Raw genomic sequence first — 16,174 nt, 5'->3', positions numbered from 1 at the left:
TGGGCTGGGGTAGGAGCGAATGGGCTGGGGTAGGAAGAGCAGCCGGGAGATACATTTTAGGAGGCTCTGCAGGGGGCTGGAAGGGAGCCCATGGTGGCCTGGGCCAAGGAGTTGGCAGTGCAGAAGGAGAGAGTTGGACAAGTATGAGCAGTCTTCAGGTAGTAGAGTTGACAGGTCTAGAGAGGGTTGATTGGATATGGGGGGCATGGGAAATCACACAGTCCAGATGATGCCCAGGTTTCTGACTCAGGCAACTAGGTGGGTAGTGCTGCGGTCTGCTGACACAGGCAACAAGTAGAGGCTGGGGTTGGGGTCGGTGTGGTGGTGAGCTAAGTCTGGACATGCAGGCTGTCTATGAGAAACCTGACTTGAGAAGGCCACATAGGGAGTTGGATAATTGGTAGCTGAGAAGAGAGATTTGAGTGAGTCTTGGAGAGTTGTACAACATCAACATAAAGATGGCACCTGAAAGCAAGGAATGAATGACATCTCCCATAAAGACTGTCACTTGAGAAGAGACCAGGTTTTGCACAGAGCCTGGAGTGTCACAGGAGGGAAAAATGGCAAGCAGACTGAGGAGCAGCCAAAGAGACAAGAGGGAGACCACAATCTCATGGTACCAGAGGGCCAGGGAAGGAGACCTCTGAAGGGCAGTGCTAGCCAAGGGGAGATAGGGGAGTGAAAAGCATCCACGGATTGCCCCATGAGGAAGTTGAAGCCTGGCCGTGAACAGGAGAACCAGATTGCATGTTTAGGGAAACCAGGAATTGGAGAGAGACAGCAAGTATAGACAGCTTTGCAGAAAACTGTGGCTGATAAGAGAAGGTGTAATGGCAAGAAAGAGGGTCAGGGAGGGCCTATCATTCTCTTTTTCTAAATACAGAGAGGCCTTGACCAGGTTTATTTGCTGATTCAAAAAAGCCAATTGAGACCAAGAGCAAACACGAGAAAGTGGCATCTATGGGAAGGTGGGGTTGGGGGGATAGGCCTCAGAGCCCAGGTGGGAGAGTTAGCCTGGGGAGGAGAAAGGGCTCCCCCCAGAGAGGAGGAAAGGGCGTGAAGACTGAGGTGAGGGAAGGTTGGAGGAGGGAAATTGAGGCGCATCTGACCACTGCTGACTGCGGAACCGAGCCCCTGACCTCACATCCCGATTCTGCTTTTGTGGTGACCACAGGGGCTGCTCTGTGTTCTCTTCCAGATTCTGATATTTTTATTGTCTTACTTCTCTCTTCTGTGTCCTCTTGACCCGCTGAGACTTCCAGCTAAGCTGACAAACTGCCTGTACCAAAACAGGTCATTCTCTCTTCACACAGGGTGTCCTTTCCTCTCAGGTACATTAGTGAGCTTATTCTGTTGGTTTCCACCTGTGTTGTCTCCGTGGAGAACCGTGATGGTTGGCCTGTCAGGGTGATTAGCTATCATGAGGCATTTGGGGCCATACATCTCCTTTTAATTCTTCCTTTTTGAAAAGTCGGTTCCATTTATCTTCTTTCTAGCCTAGGGCTTGTTCTCTACCTCACAGGTAAGTTGATTCAGTTCAATGGATAGCAGTAGTTCAAGGTGACTCTTAGTCCTTTTCAGAAACCCCATTTCAACCACAGCCTATCTCCTTAGTAGTCCTGGGAGAAAAAGAAGTCGAGTTGGATTCGGGAAGAGCATGAGCCTTTTTTTACGGCTAACGTTGAGGGTCTCTGGGCTTTCTGGGTCCGTGAGACTGACCAACCTGAAGTATGGGGATTGGATGAGAGGACTCAGACACCCTTCTCCCTTCTGACTTCAGGCACCAGCCCATGAGCCTGAGTGGCCACAGCAAGGATTGCAGGGAAGGGCATCATGGTTAAAACATAAGCATGTTATAAAATATGACTCATTGTGTAGATAGCTTTTAAAATTCCTAGGAGCTGAAGTTCAGAAACTGGTGCTGTAAAGTGAAAATGAAATTTAACTGAGCATTTGTTGGAGGAAAAATAGTTTATTGGCTCTCCCATGAAAAGCCCTGAGAGTCAGCATCCTTCTCATCGCAGACACCTGTGATTGATGACGGCCCTGTGCTGCTGCCGGGAAGGGAGCTCTTTGAAATAGCATAGTAGGGACTTTGCAAGTGGGTCTCATTTGGTTAAGTTACTGCCTTTGTGAGGCTCTGCTGCATCTTTATATTCTACCAAGGAGAAGATGGTAAATCAGAGTAATTGCTTCATCCCAAGGCACTTTTATATTGTAAAGGAAAAAGGTCCTGTTAAGAAACTCAAATTAACTTCTGCTGTTTATACTATATAGAAAGACTCTGAAAGCTGCTTGTCATACAGCCTGGCAGTTTATTTATCATGGAACAATTCCATTAGAGCCTGACACTTGTTCTCATGGCACCAAGACTTAGGATCCCTCAGGAAAAGCATTTAACCCTTGGAAATGCAAAGCTGTCATTTATCTGTCATCTCTCGAAAACCCACTGGAGTATATTTACGAGAGAGATTTGAAACAGTCATCGTTCCACTGAACTAGAAATGGAGTTGGGACTCAGTAAATGATCAGTAAAAAACTGATGAGTGTCCAATACCAGTTTGCAGCAACTCAACTGTGCTAGCTCTGTCATAAAATGAACTTACCATGGCATTCTGTATTTCTTAAGGAATTCAGTATGCAGAATTCACACTAAAAAATCGGTAAAATGGGCGAGTCTGTTTACCTTACAGCTTCTGAAATCTTCTGTTTGAAAAAATGTAGGGACTAGAGTATTAGTTCACTGCTAGTGCTGTGTCATTTGAATTGCATATTCCAGTTATATTTTATAGGTTTTAGAAGAATTCTTAAAATTAGCCTATATATATATATACACACACACACACACACACATATCAACCAAGGAGGCATAGCAGATCTTGGAAGAATGAACTGAAACAGGCATGATCTGTAAATTAATACCCTTTTGCCTAGCATTTACTAACAAAGGATGAAGGTACCATTTGTCAAAGCTTGTCAGTGAGCAGTTCCCCAGGGAGGCAGTGGAGCAGAGTCTAAGAATTTGGTCTCTGGTGCCAGACTGCCTGGCTTCACATCTAAGTGATGTCGCTTACTGGTTATGGGACTTGGACAAGTTAGTTAACCTCAGAGCCTCTTGTTTCTCCACTGTAAATAGGGAGAATGCCTCTTGGGGTTTTAAATGCAGTAATTCATGTAAAGTCCATGTAGAGTAGTTGTTACTAGCAACATTTAACATGGGCCAGATGGGCCTGGGAGGATGACATAGACCCAGAAAATTATTTGGGGTGACTGTGGTTTAAACTTGTCTATGGGTCTTTGTGACTTTGTGACTCCCTTTAATGTCATAGTTTCTCAAAAGATAGAGTACAGAAGTGGTTATGGCACAGACCACCCTCAATCTCATTCCTGCTCTGGTAGAACAGGTCAGCATAGCTAAAGTAGAGATCTAGAAATGCTCCCAGAAAATATTTTCAAGATTGAATTAAGATTGAGATAACCTTTACTTGTTTGTGGTCAGAGACAAACAAGTAAAAGGGGACCGATATTTTTGAGGAGTCCATGGTAGAAATAATACACTGTGGGTGAAAGGAGTGCTGGTGAGCCAATGTTATAGTGCTGTTGGGGGAAAGTAGAGTGAACATTCATGAGAACTGAAATTACTTGGCTCATAAGGAAAATCCAGGATAAGTGAGCCGGGGCATAGTCATGTTCTTTAGGATTTAAGAATTTGTTATATGCACTGTTGACTGTTTCTCACTCCTCAACAGATTTTTAACCACTAGCACCTTCACTACCACTTTCACCACCACCAACACCATTACCACCACCACCAGCATCGTCATCATCACCACCACCATCACTACTGTCACCACCATTATCACAACCACCACCATCATTACCATTACCACCACTACCACCATCATCACCACCATCAACTTCACTACCGTCATCACCATTATCATAACAATCACCACCATATCATCACCACCACCACCATCACCATCAGTACCACCAGCACGATCACCACCTTCATCACCACCACCATTACCACCATCACCACCACCACCATCAGCATCACTGCCATCACCATTACCACCACTACCACCACCACCATCACTACTACTGTCACTAACATGTTCACCACCAATACTATCACCATCGCTACCACCATCACCGCCACTACCGCCACCACCACCATCACTGCCAGTACCATCACCACTTTCATCACCAACACCATTACCACCACCATCACCACCACCACCATCACCATTACCACCACTACCACCACCACCATCACTACTGTCACTAACATGTTCACCACCAATACTATCACCATCGCTACCACCATCACCACCACTACCGCCACCACCACTATCACCACCAGTACCATCACCACTTTCATCACCAACACCATTACCACCACCATCACCATCTCCACCACCACATCACCACCACTGCCACCACTACCACCATGACCATCGCTGCCATCACCATTATCACAACCACCACCATCACCATCACTACCACCATCACCATCACTATCACTACCACTAACATGTTCACTACCACTGTCACCATCGCTGCCACCACCATCATCACCCCCACTACCACTGCCACCGCCACCACTACCACTGCCATCACCCCCACCACCATCACCGCCACTACCATTGCCATTATCACAACCACAATCATTATCAGCATCGCCACAACTACCACCACCACCAGCACCTCTACCACCACCACCATCACCACCACCATCACCATTGCTACCACCACCACCATCACTACCACTACCACCACCATCACCATCACTGTCATCACCACCATTATCACAATCATCACCATCACCACCACCACCACCACTACCACAACACCTTCACTGCCACTACTGTCACCATTGCTACCATAACCACCATCATCATCACCATCACCACCACCACCACCATCATAACCATCATCACCATCACTACCACCAACACTACTGCCAGTACTTCTGCTGCCACTATCACCACCACCACCACTATCACCACCATCGCACCTATAGCATCACAACCACAACAACTCAGAGCTTCAAAAGACTCCAGTTGGGAGATTCTTGCCTTTTTACCACGTTCTACCTTCAGCCTCACCTTCTCTGTCTGAGTTGCCTCTGTCCCATGCTCACTGTCTTTCTGCCTTTCAGTCCACCAGCTATGTCTATAGATTAAGAAGGGAATTTGCAAGTACACTTCAGCAACCTTGCTTTACTCTAATTTAAAAAACAATTTTTAATTTTTATCATTTGCTTTATAAATAACAAGAGATGTTAATTAGTTTGACTCATTAAATTTAAAACAATTGTTATAAATTTGGAGTGTTTGATTAAATTTCCTTAATTATACACAGTGCTTACGCTGCTGCTCTGGAGAGCAGGGGAGTTTCTGGGGAACGTTCTTCTCTCCTCCTTATGCCTTTTCTTCTTCCTCCTCACCCTCATGGCTCCAGGTCCATGCCCAGGGAGCATGTTAGCATGTTGTCAGGTCTCAAAGTATCTGAAAAGATTGTCTTCTCTGTGGCCAGGCTGCTTAGAGGCAGCCTGATATAAACTGTAAAAAGGGGGAGAGTGTTTCTCTGTGTCCTCTGCATCCACTCTTCATGCATTTGCTCCAAACCAAATCTGCTCTTAGGAAGGGATCAGACGAACCTGTTTAGAGTGAGGTAGCAATGATAGGTTAGCAGTGGGTAAACCACATAAATGAAACTTTAAATGAGGAATTCCACCTTGTTAAAGAAGTAAGGTGGGCCAGGCACAGTGGCTCACGCCTGTAATTCCAGCACTTTGGGGGGCCAAGGCAGGCGGATCATGAGGTCAGGAGATCGAGACCATCCTGGCTAACGTCCTGAAACCCTGTCTCTACTAAATATACAAAAAAAAAAAAAAAAAAAAAAATTAGCTGGCTGGGTGTGGTGGCACATGCCTGTAGTCCCAGCTACTCGGGAGGCTGAGGCAAAAGAATCACTTGAACCTGGGAGGCGGAGGTTGCAGTGAGCTGAGATCACCCTGCTGCACTCCAGCCTGGGCAACAGAGTGAGACTCCGTCTAAAAAAAAAAAAAAAAAAAGGAAGCAAGGTGGTATGGAGGTATGGAGAGAGTAACATAACCGCCTCTGAATATACTCCCAAAGGCCACTTACTAGTAATCCATGTATTTTGTACCTCTAAGCCCTTCTTCTTTTCCATCTCCTTAACCTGCCGTTTTCTCAAGCTCAAAGCTGGTCTCCTGCAGGAAACAATGCTGATTCCTTGTGCTACCCCTGCCAGTGCCCTGACCACAGGCTGCTCACATTGTTTGATTGTGAATTGGTGCCCTTCTTCCTTTTCCCCATTCTCCTTGCCCCAGACTGTTGTCTTCTCATCAGCAGGATGGCTCAATCACGACCCTGTCTCCCTAGTATCTGACACAGTGGTATTCAGAAAATGCTTTTGGACGAAAGTGAATTGTGTTTTTGTTATTTGAAAAGGACTGTATTTTAAAAACATGCAAAACATGATAACTTTTTCCAAAAGATAGGTGAGAGGTGGTTCATTCTCTTCTCCTTGAATTTGCTTATTTCTTAGACTCCCCACAACCCTGGAGACATATCAGTAGTTTGGATAGTTTTTTAAAAATAAGAATAAAACATTTTGATGATTCTAGTCAAGGGATACAATTGGCTTCATATACCCTTGCCTAAAAGTCTCCTCCATGGGAAATGCAGTTTGCTTGGAGCGAGTGCTCCAAGCAAACTGCATTTCATCAGATTTCATCAGGCTGCATGTGGATGAGTGCAGTGGGAAGGAGGTCATCCCCCCCTGGCTGGCTGGGTCTGCTGAATCAACCTGTGACTCAGCCAGAGGGCAGGCTGTCCTGGCTCCAGCACCTTTCTCACCAGTAGGGCAGCCTAGGGAGAGATTGGAGCAGGCTAATGAATGGGTAGCACTTGATAAAAATAGTGACATCAGTAGCCCTCGCTGGGCAACTTTAGAATCTTATCATTTTTTATTTTTTTATTCACTTCTCTATCTTCCATTCCACAATTCTAGGTTACATAGGTCTGCTTTGTGTGTGAGCTGTGGAAAGAGACTGATTTCTATCCTTTGTCAGTTGGGGGCTGTAAAAAATTATAACAGCTGAGACTTTATTCCAGAATTCTCCTTATGGTTCTCTCTGTCTGACTGGGAAATAGCTTGCCTTATTTCATTTATTCCTGTTTTGCCTCTGGGGCTCATGTTAACTACTTCTCACTACTGGGCTTGTCAGACATCAGGGTTTAAGAGGTGCCACCACTTCTTGGCTCCAGGATAGCTCCTGTTCTCTGGGCAGAGCTGAGTAAGGTACTTTGGACATTGCTGTTCCTTTTACACAGTGTGTCTTTATGACATTGTTTTGATGATCAAACTCTTATCCTAAGTTTCTTGATCTTTAAAAGAGTTAACCTAGTCATAATATTCACCATCAGTGTCTTTCTCCAAGGGGCATTGTGAGGATAATTAAGGGACATATAGGTGAAATGTTTTGAGCTCAATGGAAGAGAAAAGCCATCGGGCTCATAGATGTTACTTTTATTTAGTTTCATGCTGTTACCGTATGATCAAGAATAGATGAATTTTGGAAATGATGACAGTTTCATGTTTAGACGTCTATTTCTACTTAACCACCATAATTGGCCTTGGCTGGAGCTCTACAAGATACCGCAATTTATAGATTAAAAACAAATAAGTGAGAAATGATCAAAAATGTTTTCACTACATTTTTTATTTGCTATTTTTTTTAATTCTAAAAATAAATAGGCCCTTTAAAAGGAGTTGATTAAAAAGGTTTATTTTCTGGGAATGTTATGCATCTGCAACAAATGATAAATAATATTGAAGCAGTTGGCTACCTCCACTTTCATGCAAAATAAATAAATACATTTGGTGACATACATTTGAGGAATGTGATTTTTGTAATTTTTATGGAAATAGGAGCAACTTTGCAGATGATAGAAATTTTTACCATCTGCTAGTAACAAAGAAACATAACTCATAACGTGCAACACATTTTGAGTTTAATGTATATGTTGGCATGCCGGGAATTGGAATTCTCTTAGACCTAAGTCAGCCATCCCAGGGGAAGCTGACCTGACTTTCAGCTTGTCAGGCGAAAGCTTTCTTTGCTTTTAAAGCATGATCTTCACATTGCTCAAATGGCAGGGGGACGAAGAGGGCTAAGCTTTCATGGCAAGAGATGAAGAGAAAGGCACTCTGCAGGCTGGTGAGCACCGGCACAATTTTCACTTGTAATTAGTGGGATGGGGGCTCACTGTCGAGAAGCTACTGTCTTTATGAGTCAAAACATTTAGTATTGGTAGAAAGGTGAGAGTTCAGACACTTAGGGAGATACAGGGGGTGGGAAGCCCAGCCTTTCTCTTACAGTGACATCTGCTTTAAGCAAGTGACATTTTAGCTCCCTAGCCATGAAATGATATGTGGTGGGGGGCTTGTGCTTCTAGTTAAAGAGAAGGAATGGGTAGGTTAGTTTTAAGAAGCAGCTCAGTGGAGGCTACAGAGCTACCCACCAAGGAAGGAGGAGAGAAACCAAAGGGAAGGCATTGCCTTTCTTTTTGAGTTTCCTTTCCTCTCCTTTGAAGAAGTGGGGACGTTGCCATTTTGAGTCATTCTGGGTTCATCTTATGGTGTGGAAGCATGGCACGAGCATGATGGCAGGCCCCTGAAAAGACGACTAGTGGATTTCTATTAGAAGATTATGAGTAAGTGGTCCTGAGGGTGTTCACTCCTTCTTGGTAGTAGGAGCTGTAGGCTGGTTATGCGGGTAGAACTTCATTAGTGGATTTTATCTAGCAATCTGGATGCTTTATAAAGCATCTTGGAGTGCTTTGGGGTATCCTTCAGCTTAAAGGGGTTGGGGGATGAGGCAGGTTTAGTTAAAGAGGAGCATCTTTTCTCTCACCTCCAACATTTTCAGAGTAGGACATGACTCATAACTCCCAGACCCTGGAAATGTATTGGGTCTGATATCTGCCTAATTAATTTTGGTTTTTATCCTATTGCCTTTGTCTTAAACATTTAAGCCACACTGAAAAATAAGTGGAGTTTATGAATCTGTTTTCATGGCTGCATCTACTGTTGTCCCTTCCTTTGTTCAGCTTGCCTCCCGTTCTGACCCTCCGGGATCTTGGATTCTTTCCCCTCGGCTTCTGGAAAATATGCTGACAGACTCATGCACGCTAAGATACTCAAGGCTAATCAGGTTTAAAGTGTTTCAGCTTCTTGTGGTGTTTATATTTCTTGCAGGGGTGAAGACATCTTAAACCAGAGGAATGACTCTCTAGTTGTGGAATTTCAGTCATCAGCCAGCAGATGCAGGAGGTATTATTTTGGGCATGGGGGCCTTCTGAGAAGCCCAGAAATCATTCTCAATGACCACCTGCCTGCTCCATCTTACATGAGGCCACTTCGTGCATCACACCAGTCTTGTGTGTCTGGTTGGGTTGACCTGACTGAGGGCAGCAAGCATGTGTGTGGGAGTCCCTGCTATGTATGGGAAAAGGGGAGAGTTATGATGCATGCTGTGCAAGCTTTTTTTTCTTTTGAGAGGGAGTCTCGCTTTGTCGCCCAGGCTGGAGTGCAGTGGCGCAATCTCGGCTCACTGCAAGCTCCGCCTCCCGGGTTCGTGCCGTTCTCCTGCCTCAGCCTCCCGAGTAGCTGGGACTACAGGTGCCCACCACCGCCCCTGGCTAATTTTTTGTATTTTTAGTAGAAATGGGGTTTCACCGTGTTAGCCAGGATGGCCTCGATCTCCTGACCTCGTGATCCACCCATCTCGGCCTCCCAAAGTGCTGGGATTACAGGCATGAGCCACAGCGCCCGGCTGCTTTTTGTTTTCTAACTGCAGGTGTCAATATTGTTCCAAAAGCTAGAAGTGCATAATGAAACTAGAATTCTCCTGTTGATTAAAGGCTACTTCATATCCATCTGCAGTGTGGGTCATATATCCTCAGAGCAGTCTCCATTTTAAATCCATGGAATGTTCCTGAAAGCCGGGGTTTCATATTACAAATGTCCACAAGCAGGGCAGGACCATCATACCCTCTACTGGGAACTGGAAGTCTGGTTCTGTGAATAAGAGTGTCTTTCCCATCTCCTGCTTTCCTTAGGCTGGTCACTGTCACCACAGCCACCCCAGAGAGTTCTTAGTGATCAGTGATCGTGATGTTAGCGCTGTGAGCCTCTCAGTTGGTAGAAGATTCTAGAGGCTGCAGTCCCCGTTATATGAAGGTCACTGGTTGGACTCCCAAATCTAATAACTGTGGGTAATATACTAAGGATGAATTAAAATGCTAATAGGCTCCATGTTCTGGATATCTTTACATTCCCTAACCTTAAATTTAAATTAAATGCCTTAGGTGCTGCAGCAGCCTTGCCAGAAGCATGTTTAGTATCGCATCACCCCTTAGACAGCAAATTTAAACTGTACCCCAGCCACACGGGCAGAGCTAGGATAAGCAATATTTATTTTACAATAATTTGTGTGTCCCCCTACAGCTACATGATACATATACTTTCTGTTTTACTAAAGATAGTTATTTAGCTTTTAAAAATCACAATTTTTATAAGTTCCTTTGAACCCACAGATCCTTTTATTATTAACAATATTTTATTAGCAATATGTTGGATTTTGTGGCACCTAAAGCTACTCCAAAGCCATTTTATAGATTACCTTCACATTTAAGCCTTATAACAGTGCCATGAAACGCCCCTGCTTTGTAATGAAGTCATTAAGGCGTAGAGAGACCGAGTGGCTTTTCCATCCCCATGTCGCTGATTTGGGGAGAACCACATTTCGCAGGTGAGTGTGCCAACTCCCAGCTCAGCATCTGCCCACTAGACCAAGTGGGAGCTGGAAGCAGAATGATGGCCAGGTCACTGAACCCACCTGCTTCTGCTGGGAAAGGAGGACAGAGCTCATCTTAAGGGATCTGTAAGCTCTTTTTGATTGGTAGTGTTGGTTCTGTTGTCTACACGGAGGCCAGATTTCTTTATCCAGGGAGCCAGAAAAACAAGTGCATTTCCTTCCTTCAGTAAACAGGTCACTTCCTCATCACTAGTTGAATTAGCCCCTTTGTTTTCTCCTTATTAGGGGGAAGGAACACTTTATTTCTTCCTCATTTCTTCCAGTTGTCTGGTGCCTGGCCACTTCATAATTGTATTTTGAGAGAATAGATATTAATTTTCTTCAACAAAAGGCGGAGTTCCTTGATGACACAACATAATTCAATTTCCGTTCTCTCCCCTCATTGCCTGCACCCCTTCCTCCTGGCACATTTTTCATAGTTAGGAGGAGTGATAGTGTCAAATATATCAGAAGGAAGAATTGATTCAGTAGTCGTTTGACGACTTGACTGATTAACAGAGATCAGAAGAAGGCTCATAACTGTGAAAACCACTGCAGCATGCAGTTTTAACAGCTCTTTAGGGAGCTAGTTAATGAAAGAATCACTGCAGAAACACAGCCATGCAAAAAGGAAAAAAAAAAAAAGAACAGGAGCATTCCCATATAACACTCAGAAGCTCTGTCATAGAGAAAATATGCTCATAATTTCTATTTACACATCACTGTAATTACCGTCTGCCTTAAGATTACTTTCAGTCTTCTCCTGTCAAAGTTGCTTAAACAGTTCCTCTTTCACATACCAGGAAGAGAAACCTAGTACTGGTTGGAACTGGTCCTAAGGATTCTTTTCCCCCCAAAGAATGTAATTGTTAGACACCCCAGCACACTGCCTGATGACTCTGGCTTTTGTCTCATCCATGTTCTTGTTGTCATCACCATTTGTCCACGAACCAGACTTCTGCACTCACACAAGTGTTACATTGGGCTTTACAGTTTAATTTGTGTGTGTGGTTGTTCTCTCTTCTTTTTCCTGATGCAGTGTCTATGAACCAGATAGAAATGCATTACGGAGGAAAGAACGAGAAAGAAGAAATCAAGAAACTCAACAGGATGATGGCACGTTTAATTCTAGTTACTCTCTCTTCAGTGAGCCCTACAAGGTAGATGGTTTTCAGTTGTTCATCTCTACCTCTCACTTGTTTCTCTCACTCCCTGTGACGGTGGCCTTGACTAAAAGAATTGGCCGACCAAACTTGACTGCATCTTCTGTCTGTTCAGCCCAGGGAAGACAGCTCAGCCACCAAGTACGGGGTCTTCCCCCAGAAATTGAGGTGTGTGGTTCACATGGCTTTACTGGCCACTCCCTCAGTAACATGCAACTTTTGTTTACTATTGAGATCTGCTTGCTGTGATTTTTATCAATAATACAGACTTCATCTCCGCGTTGACATATTATAAGGTCAATCCCATTTGTTATGTTTTCTCAGATCGTAGGAAACAAACACTATTAGAAGGAGGTTGTGTTACATATTTGTCGTACATGGATCACGCTAGGATTAGAGTACCTGTTAGGGCTAATGAGAAAGAAAGTCTAAGATTATTTCTCATTTTTACCAAAGGCCAGAAATATAACCTTGCTTCCAAAATGAAATGTCATCCCAGATTTCACAAATACCTTAGGCGGCATGGAGCTCTGGGTCATTCCAGCTTCCTGCACATTTAGCCCCATGTTCCTTTAAGCTTCACATTGACATCTCTTGCCTGTCACTCTGGATTTCTGGCAAGAATGATATTTAGACTAATCCCGAGCCAAATCTGAATTTTCAAGTAAAGCTTCTAACGGGACTACAATTACAGGACAATCCAATCATAGAAAGACTTAATCCAGTTCATTTTTTAAAGTTGCAATAGTTAATTTTCCTGATTTCCAGGTAATCTGTTTTAGCTGCAACACACACAGTACCAAGGATAGATCCCCCTGCTCCTTTTTATTTTTTGAGACAGAGTCTCCTTCTGTCACCCAGGCTGGAGTGCAGTGGCGTGATCTTGGCTCACTGCAACCTCTGCCTCCCAGGTTCAAGTGATTCTCCTGCCTCAGCCTCCTGAGTAGCTGGGACTACAGCAGCCCGACACCACACCCCACTAATTTTTGTATTTTTAGTAGAGACAGGGTTTTGCCGTGTTGGTCAGGCTGATCTCAAACACCTGACCTCAGGTGTTCCGCCCACCTCGGCCTCCCAAAGTGCTGGGATTCCAGGCATGAGCCAGCCACCGCGCCCGGCCGGATAGATCCCTTTTTATGCACCCCAAGGCCATTACAGGCTTCCTGTTCTGGTGCATCACCAAGTGCTGACAGACATCTTCAGAGACGATAAGGATTTCGATTTCATCTCTCAGCTCTCATTCTGCATGTGACAACCCTGGCTCTGTGATTGATAAGGGCACCTGTTGATTATCTCCGGTGTTTCTGTTGTCTCTAACAATAGCGTGGATGTGTTTTTCTTTCTCCAGACTAACAAGGGGGATGAACTCTCCAACCGGATCCAGAACACTTTAGGCAATTATGATGAAATGAAAGACTTTTTAACTGATAGATCCAATCAGAGTCATCTCGTTGGAGTTCCCAAACCTGGGGTTCCTCAGACTCCTGTGAACAAGATCGATGAACATTTTGTTGCAGATTCAAGAGCCCAGAACCAGCCCTCGTCTATCTGTAGCACTACAACTTCCACACCAGCAGCTGTCCCCGTGCAGCAGAGTAAGAGAGGCACTATGGGCTGGCAGAAGGCTGGGCACCCACCCTCTGACGGCCAACAGAGAGCAAGTAAGCACAGGCACAGGTTGCTTGATTTGCACAAATCTGCTAAAACCCAGAGAACTATAATGAAAAAAGAAAATCCCTATGTGTCGACCCCCCTCATCCTTATCTTCCTCTTCTTCTTCTTCCAACTCAGCACAACAGGGCTCTCTCAGGACCTTGCTTGGAGATGGTGTTGGCAGACAGCAGCCTCGGGCCAAACAAGTGTGCAATGTGGAGGTGGGCCTTCAGACCCAGGAGAGGCCACCTGCCATGGCGGCCAAGCACAGCAGCAGCGGACACTGTGTTCAGAACTTTCCTCCATCCCTAGCTTCAAAACCCAGCCTGGTCCAGCAGAAACCGACCGCGTATGTGAGGCCAATGGACGGCCAAGATCAGGCCCCTGATGAGTCTCCTAAGCTGAAGTCGTCTTCGGAAACCAGCGTGCACTGCACATCATACAGGGGAGTCCCTGCCAGCAAGCCGGAGCCTGCCAGAGCCAAGGCCAAGCTCTCCAAGTTCAGCATCCCCAAGCAGGGGGAGGTGAGTCTTTATCAGCACCGTTCACATGCAACTGCATAGTTACAAGTGACAATTTGACCCTCGTGAATTCAGTTTCCATGTTTCTTTTTTTTCAGTGATGTGGTTAACTTCATGTGGTAGGATTTGTAGCAGTCACTGAAAGGGGAGGCAGACTTAAATAGTGATTTCTTAAAATCTCAAATTTATTATAATTTGAATTTTTAGAGTTCCAGCAAATGCAGTTGTGTGTGTATGTATTAGTTAGGGAAGGAATGTCCCCTTCACTATAGTTTGAGAATTTTCTTCTGAATAGCTAGTGTTCACTGAGGGTATAAATAAAATTAAGAAATAAGTGAATAAGTGATTCAGAAGTAAGAAAAGCACTTAAAGGCTATAATTTCAGTATCTATTTACCTATTTAAGGTAAATTTTTATGTAAAAGAGTTCCAAAACTCTTAACATTTTCGTGTTTTGAAATATTTTAACACAAACTTTACCAAATAAACCTCATAATAGTTTTTAAATTAATTGTTTAAATTATTCAACTTTGAATATGGTGAACTATTCAAATGTTTTGGAAATCCTGTCCTGTCTCAGACCATATTCCAAATTGATGATGGTTGTGAAGAGTACATGAAGAAAAAAATATGACCATGCATACATATTTTTTGCTGTGATATTGTATACTAACTAAAATTAAATGTGAGTTCTAGAACATTATACTTAGGAACTGTTCAGTTTTTTCTCTTTTTAACATATTCTTTAAAGACTGAGTAACAGTGTGGCCAGAATATTCTTTGTATCTTAATTTGATTTAATAACCAAATGAAAGCAATGATTTGACATTTGTTGTTGCATTTTTGACAAGGCTGAGCTTAAACATTTCTGAACTATCATCTCAGAGATCACCACGGACTGATAGGGATATCAACATATCACCGTTTAGAAAAGACTTCTTTTTTAATCTATGAGATGTTTACACTGGTTTTGTAGAGAAGATCAAGTGACAGGTATACCGTAACTTTTTTTGATTACACGTTTATGATAGATTCTAGAAAATGTTCACTAGAAACTAATGGAAGCAAAATGTAATTTCTATAGGCATTTACGTTTTTAAAAGTTTGTAGGAGACACACGTAGGTACCATCTTACAAAACTGAATTCATCAGGCTGTTTGATTCGTCATCATCAAATGACTGGTAGCAGCAAATAAATTCCGGCATATCTTTGAGCAGTGGTGACTGACTTTTACAACCACCAGGAACCCCTTCATTATTTCAATCTCAATTGACTTCTTGTTAAAATGGTTTTTATCTACCAAAGAAACTTCAGATTTATTAGGTAATAATTTACATGTTTGTTTATTTTGGAATTCAGTGAGTTCATAAAACTCTAGTTAAAACAAAAAAAGATGAATTTTTGATTGCCAGTAAAGCCTTAAGCAGATAACTGTGCAGTTTTTATGAGGCTTTTGGGTATGTCATTAATAACCTGGACACTTTCAGGATGCCCTTTGAGGACTCAGATTGGAAAGAACATGCTGTGTATGGTGTCTGGTTAGCAGAGAGAGAGGGGGATGCCTCAGACAGAGACTCACGCTGAGAGAAATCAGAGCTTTCTATGGGAAGTGTTCCATTTCCCCTATATGTAGTGACATTGAACTAGCGAGCCTGCCCTCTTCCTAACTTTTTGTCCTGAATATTTCAAAAAGGCCAGTCATGCTTTGATAGAGAAGAGATAAGAGGTGTTTGTAGAAGAAAGTTAAAAATTGGTGGGTGGGTTCTTTTTTTTTTTGTGAAGGGGGGTGCAGTGTTTATCATAGTTAAAAGCACTGCATATTAGGAGAAATGTTGTAATTTGAACCTTATAACACTTGTCTGTTTAATCAGTCCACTCCCACAATAAAAACATGACTAAATTTCACAGTCAGCAGCCAAGTAGTGAGTTACTTCTACCCTTCA

The 16,174-nt window shown here is 43.6% G+C and overlaps 1 protein-coding gene across 20 annotated transcripts in view; it reads left to right on the top strand.

Annotated features, from left to right (window-relative positions):
• AFF3 (ALF transcription elongation factor 3) overlaps positions 1-16,174 on the top strand; it is a 597,172-nt gene that overhangs the window by 121,725 nt on the left and 459,273 nt on the right. For 10 of the 20 annotated variants that reach the window (XM_047444281.1, XM_047444280.1, XM_047444279.1 and 7 more), the window contains 4 exons: positions 9,295-9,369; positions 11,934-12,054; positions 13,406-13,718; positions 13,849-14,234. In XM_047444281.1, the coding sequence (XP_047300237.1) occupies positions 9,295-9,369; positions 11,934-12,054; positions 13,406-13,718; positions 13,849-14,234 (895 nt within the window). The remainder of the gene's footprint in view (positions 1-9,294; positions 9,370-11,933; positions 12,055-13,405; positions 13,719-13,848; positions 14,235-16,174) is intronic. The other 10 variants (NM_002285.3, XM_047444286.1, NM_001386135.1 and 7 more) reach the window with 1 other exon arrangement.

The sequence above is a fragment of the Homo sapiens genome, chromosome 2, assembly GCF_000001405.40.
Source record: "Homo sapiens chromosome 2, GRCh38.p14 Primary Assembly".
Taxonomy (NCBI): domain Eukaryota; kingdom Metazoa; phylum Chordata; class Mammalia; order Primates; family Hominidae; genus Homo; species Homo sapiens.
Note: the sequence above shows the minus strand (reverse complement) of the source record. Positions and strands in the feature narration are given on the sequence as shown.